The 6,749-nt window shown below is 38.2% G+C and overlaps 1 long non-coding RNA gene across 1 annotated transcript in view; it reads left to right on the forward strand.

Annotated features, from left to right (window-relative positions):
• Positions 1–5,594, forward strand: part of LINC01122 (long intergenic non-protein coding RNA 1122) — a 543,014-nt gene extending 537,420 nt beyond the window's left edge. Inside the window, exons 13-14 of the long non-coding RNA NR_033873.1 lie at positions 389–424; positions 2,607–5,594. This is a non-coding gene — a long non-coding RNA (long intergenic non-protein coding RNA 1122). The remainder of the gene's footprint in view (positions 1–388; positions 425–2,606) is intronic.
• Positions 5,595–6,749: the final 1,155 nt, after the last annotated feature.

Consider the following 6,749-nt stretch of genomic DNA (forward strand, 5'->3'; position numbering starts at 1 on the left):
TAAAGATTTCTCAAAGACAGTCTGAGCTCCCCATTCAGTAGTGTTTCACAACACGTGCTCACTCCAACACCCAGGCATCATATTCAGAATTTTATTTGATCTTCCAATTTGGGGCAGTTTGACACCCTAGCAGAAGGTAGTTTAGTCACCTTTGTAAACGACTTCATGACGACTGTTCTCACAGTAAGTAGTTCTGCTGAGCAAAGAAAACAAATCGGTACAAAAACAATGCCAGAACAGGTGTGCTAGCTGTTGGGGAAAAATCATTAGAGTGCCATTACTCAATCACTCTGTTTCTCTTATAATAATATATTATTTATTAAGAGCATTGTTTTTCTCCGTGTCATTTTTTATAAACTTCACATCTAACATTTATTTTTTCCTTCAGATGTGCCACAGCAGAAGCAAGTTGTGTTGGCAGTAGGTGAGACAGAGAAATTTTAATCCTGTTTTCAATAAACCATCCTAAACTTATTTACAAACCAATATAATTTGAAGCAAGACACTTCTGATATTTTTGTCTTTTGTTTGGGTTTCTCACATGCAAAATGATACATTTTAGAGATCAGAGAAAATTAAAACAAAACAAAAATAAAACTATTTCTCATGTCTGCCAACTGAAAAACCTGAAGAGTATGTTCTTTATATGATTCTATGAATACTTTACTAAGCAGACCAAACATGCACATTCATGATACAGCATCTCCTTCCAGAGTAGAAAGAGCATTGTTGTAGGAGAGTTTTCCTCATCCTATCAATTGAAAATAAGGGGGATTCCATTTTCTGGTATCTTATTTAGTAAAATTAAGCAAAGCTTCCTGATTTAAAGTCTTTAAGTGAAGGTAATAGAGAGTGTTAAGTAACCAACTAATATTCTGCTGAAAACCTGACGACCCTCAGGGAGGCCTCATAGAATATGTATTATTGAATAGTGAGCCTCCTACCACATGTTTTTTATTTGGATGACTCCAATTCTACCCCATTCCCTTGTCATTTCAAGCAGCACTCTCACAGTTCAGGCAATCAACAGGGACCTGGAGGAAGAGAACGTTCGATCTGTTCTCTGAAACACAGGAGAGAGAGAATGTGAAAACTGGGGTAATTGCCTCAAAAGTGGGGCATGTGGCTCTCTAACAAAATCCCCACCTCTGAGAAGACTTTCCACAGAAACATCCTGTCATCCCCTTGAGACTGTATCAAGTCAGTTTGGATGTAACACTGTGAAAATGCTATAGATGCAGCAGGAGAAATTATTCCTTTTCCTGAGATGATTATGACAAAGAACTCATGTCAAAAATAAGGAAACTTGCCCTAGGAGTTTTATAAGCACTGATTGGCAAAAGCGGAGCAAGGGTGGACCTTGGACATTTTGCATTTCACATGAGCTCATCTTTGGTAGCCTGGGTTGGGTTAGTTGGGTCAGTTAGAAAGGAAAGTAGGCTGAAGATGAGAGGGAAGCAATAAAAGGAAACTTTGTAATCAGGCAGTTTCCTATACTATTGGTATTATAGTTAGTGTCATTCTTAGTGTCTAGTGTCTCCCACTAGGAACATCAAATAGGCAGATAAATAAGGTAGTCATGAACATAGTCACTTCACCATTAGCCACATTAATGGAAGACAAAAATGTAATGGAGATAATGGAGGTAGGAGGAGAACACATACACTTAAATGGATAATTTATCATTAATTTAATTTCCCATTGACATTGATTAGAATTTAGGAAATAGACTGAATAAATAAATGAGGAAAATATAGTGGTGAGTGTAAATCAAGGCCATCCAAGGCTCATGTGCTTCCAGTACAACTAGCAAGCATTTCTTGTGATTTTACCATGTGCCAGGCAATGCTCTATGTGTCCTCTGGGAATAACTTACATAAACCCTTACAAAAAATGGGAACTGTTTATTATTCCAATTTTGCAGTCAGTGAAACTAAAGCACAGGAAGGTTTGACAACTGGCTCAAAGGACCACGGGACTGAGTAGAAGAACTAGGATCGAAATCACATAATTAGAATTCTTCACCATGATGACCCTATCCTGAATCTAGATTGGAAGAACAAAGTGGAACTTGGGCTTGAAACAGAAAGTAGGGTATACATGTTTAGTCAGCTTACCTGCAGGGTGTTACCTTTTAAGTATTCCCTAATTGATGGTTAAAATTCATTTAGTTGTAGAAATAACTAATACTTCTACAAATGGTGGTATCATACCACTATTTTAGTTCTACAGGATGTCACTGACAAATGATGGGTACTTTTTATTCCTTCTTTTGATATGAAGAAATGAACTTGTGAACCACTGGACATGCTAAGGTACTTTAGTCAGTGTACATTGATTGAAAACAAGTCATTGAAGTATTGACTTGAATTAGATTTCATGGAAACGTATAGAGTATTAAATGATAGTCATGAATATTAGTAACAAATAGTGACTTTGTTTTTTTTAAGACCATAAGCAATTCTTGTAACCCATGTTATTTCTGAATATCTGTCTTTTGTTCTGATGATTTTTAAAAAGAAATTGTTTGGAATTCATTCATTTAAAAATCTGTCTTACTGGGGACATTACTTCATAGCTATGTCTAAATGTCATTTTTCTTTTAGGAAACAAGATAAAGAGAAGAACTCAAAGAATTGAGAGAAGGCTTTGAACATGATGATGGAGAAATAACACTCTTGGGAGAAATGAAGATACTTTCTCCTCCCTGGTTTACCTGAGTTTCCAGCACCCAGTGATAAGAAAGGATGGCATTAGTGATGTGTACACCTGCAGTGATAGCTTCACCTTTCTAAAGCAGATGCCGTGGTAGACATTTTGCCAGCCCTCCTTTCACTATACACACAGCTTGGTGTACGCTGGCAGACTTTTGACCTAATTTCTTAACCCTCAAATATTCCAAGACAGAACAAAGCACACAACAAAACCAGAATGAGGCCGGGCAAAGTGGCTCATGCCCGTAATCCCAGCACTTTGGGAGGCTAAGGGGTGGGCAGATCACTTGAGGTCAGGAGTTTGAGACCAGCCTAGGCAACATGGTGAAACCCAGTCTCTACTGAAAATACAAAAATCAGCCGGGTGTGGTGGCAAATGCCTGTAATCCCAGCTACTGGGGAGGCTGAGACACAAGAATCACTTGAACCCAGGAGGGGGAGTTTGCAGTGAGCCGAGATTGTGCCACTGCATGCCAGTCTGAACAACAGAGCAAGACTCTGTCACAAAAACAAACAAAAAACTGAATGAATGGAAGCAGATAAGTGCAGAGAGAAACACTGATTTACCTTCAGAAAGATAAAAAAGTAGTATATTGATATACTTGTATATTGCTATCTACTAGTATAGCTTCAGTTGGTGTATGAGTATAGAACTATTGGGTTGTTCTTTATGTGATTACTCCTTCCCAGTTTTAGTAAAGTATTCCAATTTGAGGGAAATTCTTTCATTTGTCAATAAAATAAAAAGAGGTAAGTTTTAAAATCTGTATAGTTCTTCCTTCATGCTAGTTGCCTCTCTTTTTGATATTTCTTCTATAAAAATCTTTTCTTACATTCAGTTTTCATTGTATAGATCATGAAGGAACCATAGTGATTATCAAAGATCAGCCGATAAGTTCAAGGCAGAGTTCCACCTTTCCCCATGAAGCCCTTCCAGACTTGTTTACATGTAACACCCTTGAAGGCAAGACTCATGTCTATGCTATCTTTGCTGCTATTTGGCACGTATTAGGTGTAAGGGCAATTAGACCATATCAATTAATGATCAGTAAGAATGGATAAAGTAGATGTTTTTGTGAGCCTCTCAAAGAAGATGTATAGAATATTTTGGAAATGGGCCCAATTTGTTTCTAAAGGAAAATTTACTTTCAAATTAAAAAAAAAAAATCACTCAAATGAGATTTTGGGGGATTTCATATGATTAACTCTTTACATTATCTTGTGGTAATTATACAGAAATCTGTATTTATGTAAACACAGTAAATGCATCATAACACTAGAATAAGTATACAAATACTGCATGTCAAATTAGGTTATAATCACTTTCAAGGGACGTGATTTCCTAGCTAAACAGATTCGTTTACATTTTGCAAAATAAAAAATAAGTGAAAATAACTATATAAAATCAGGCTTACAGCTGGACAGATCTTCTTGGCAATGGTCCAGACACTGAGTAGGGAAAAGCCCCTCCAGCTGAGGAACGTTCAGGACGCTCAGGACGACTTTGCAGGCGCGGCCGGGAGAGAGGCCATTTTTGGGGTTGCCTTGACTGTGCACCCTGTTCCTGGCTACCTATGGGGAGATAAGCTGCATTCACATATCAGATGAGACTCTTTTTGTGAGAGGTCTGGGGTGGGATGTGGGAAGTGGAGTGAAAACCTGCTTAGTAGGGGAGGAAAAAAACAAGCAATCCAACACTTCACCTTTAGGTAATAAACATAATAGAAAAAGTCAGGAATTCTCTAACTAAAAAGCAGACAGTGGAAGCTAGCATCGGACTCACTGAATTTTAGAATCAGGGTCTGTGTACCATGGATTATCTGGCCCTGCCCTTGTCACTGGATGAGAAGATTCTGGCTATAGGGCAAGAAGCAGTGCTTGGACCGAGATCCAGAATGTTACCCTCAAATCTGAAGCTTATTTATGAGATAAATAAAGCTCATATTTTCAAGAGAGATAATTATTTTAAAACTTCTCATTTCAATGTGTACCTTAAAAAAATAAATACATTTTGGGCCAGGTGCGATGGTTCATGCCTGTAATCCCAGCACTTTGGGAGGCCGAGGTGGGCAGATCATGAGGTCAGTTTGAGACCAGCCTGGCCAACATAGTGAAACTCCGTCTCTACTAAAAATAAAAATAAAAAAATTAGCTGGGCATAGTGGCACGTACCTGTAGTCCCAGCTACTTAGGAGGCTGAAGCAGGAGAATCGCTTGAACCCATGAGGCAGAGGTTGTGGTGAGCCCAAATTGCGCCACTGCACTCCAGCCTGGGCAACAGAGCAAGACTCCATCTCAAAAAACCAATCAACCAACCAACCAACAAAAAACATTTCACATCTCCCTGACGTAGCCAACATTTTCTCCAACATTCTCTTATTTTGATGGCAGAAGGGCATAACTGTAAATCTCAGTTTTTATATGGTATTGTATAATATAGTGGCATCCTTTGCGGCCAGTTGATTGTGAAGAGCAGTTTGCCTTTACTTAGCTTCCATGAACATTAGCTTTAAATGCTCATTGACATTAATGAGAGCCAGTTTGCTAAATCTGTGTCTCCTTCATGTTCATTTGCTACTTAGTTTTGTTGATTCCAAGAAGTCACTAATTTTTTTAAATCATAGATTCTGATTTCGAGGTAGCTTCATTTTTCTAGTGTTGAGTAAAATGTGTGTGTGTGTGTGCTTTAGTTTAATTAATACTAATTTTTATTCAAAATATATTTGTTGAGCACTTACTCTCTGCTGTGGCTGGGCATACATTACTTTCTTTCCACAGTCCGTTGGTTGAATTGTCCTGAGCAGGGGTTGACAAATGATGGCCTGTGAGCCAAATCTACCCCACTGCCTGTTTTTGTAAATAAAGCTTTATCAGAACATAGTCACACTCATTTGTTTGCACATCATCTGTAGCTGTTTTTGCACACATGGCAGGGTTGAGTAGCTGTGATGGAAATTATATGGACCAAAAGACAAAAGTATTTGCTATCTGGCCTGCAACAAAAATATTTGCCAATTTGTGGCCCTGAGTATGAACCTTTAATTACCTAGCTGGTTTGATAAAAGAGCTAAATAAAATAGATGACACCAAACTGCAGCTACCTGTTCACTACTCACATTCAAGTGTCTGTGGTCACAAGAAATAATCATGTCACTGGATGATACAGAGAGAACTAGGAAAATTCTAGTCTTCAGAAAAATAGAAAGCTGTTCACATTTGTTTAAACAATTTCCAAATCCTGTTCCTAGAACCATCCCTAACCTGTCCTAATATGTAAACTTGCAGCTTTTGCATTACAAATTTATTGTTATTACTTTTAACTCCTTTTTTTTTCAGGAAAAAGGTAATTAGGCTATAAACAGAAGTCTGACAACTAATTTCAGACAAGGCAAAATTAATGCAAAGCCAGCTGATAATTTTAGTCATGTGAAATTAAAATAGATATATTTTAATGGCATTCTACAAAATCCAAGTCTAATATCTTCCCGTTGTTTTCCCACCTTCCCCTGTTCTCATGTGAACTGCCGCTCTGTGTAGGTAGTGACATGTGCTGATAAAGGTCATTGCTTTAGCTATACTCACTGTCCCCTTCTCCTGTCCCCAGTATTGATCTTTGAGTGGAGAGCTGCTTCTTCCCTTTCCTTCTCAGGAGTTTCTCGACGCTGAAAAGACAGGACCATCCAAGGGAAAAGTATTCAGTCCCAATTCTTCTTACATTTTCAAATGTTCATTGACATTAATAAGAGGCAATTTGCTAAATCTGTACTGGGGCTTCAAGAATTTAAAGGTTAGTGGCTGTGTGTGTGTGTGTGTGTGTGTGTGTGTGTATGTGTGTGTGCATGTGTATTTCTAGGGGGAGATTCCAACACTGCTGTATTCTGTCATCCCAGGAACATGTTAAATATGCATCTCAATGTCAGCAGCAGCTTGGGATGTTATCATCTCCAAAACTATCACCTGCCTTCTGAAAACCATAACCCTAAAAATATTGATTGGTTAAAAGGCAGTATCTGAAGGCATGAGTCAGTGTCTCGC

The sequence above is a fragment of the Homo sapiens genome, chromosome 2 (assembly GCF_000001405.40).
Source record: "Homo sapiens chromosome 2, GRCh38.p14 Primary Assembly".
In the NCBI taxonomy this organism is placed as follows: Eukaryota; Metazoa; Chordata; class Mammalia; order Primates; family Hominidae; genus Homo; species Homo sapiens.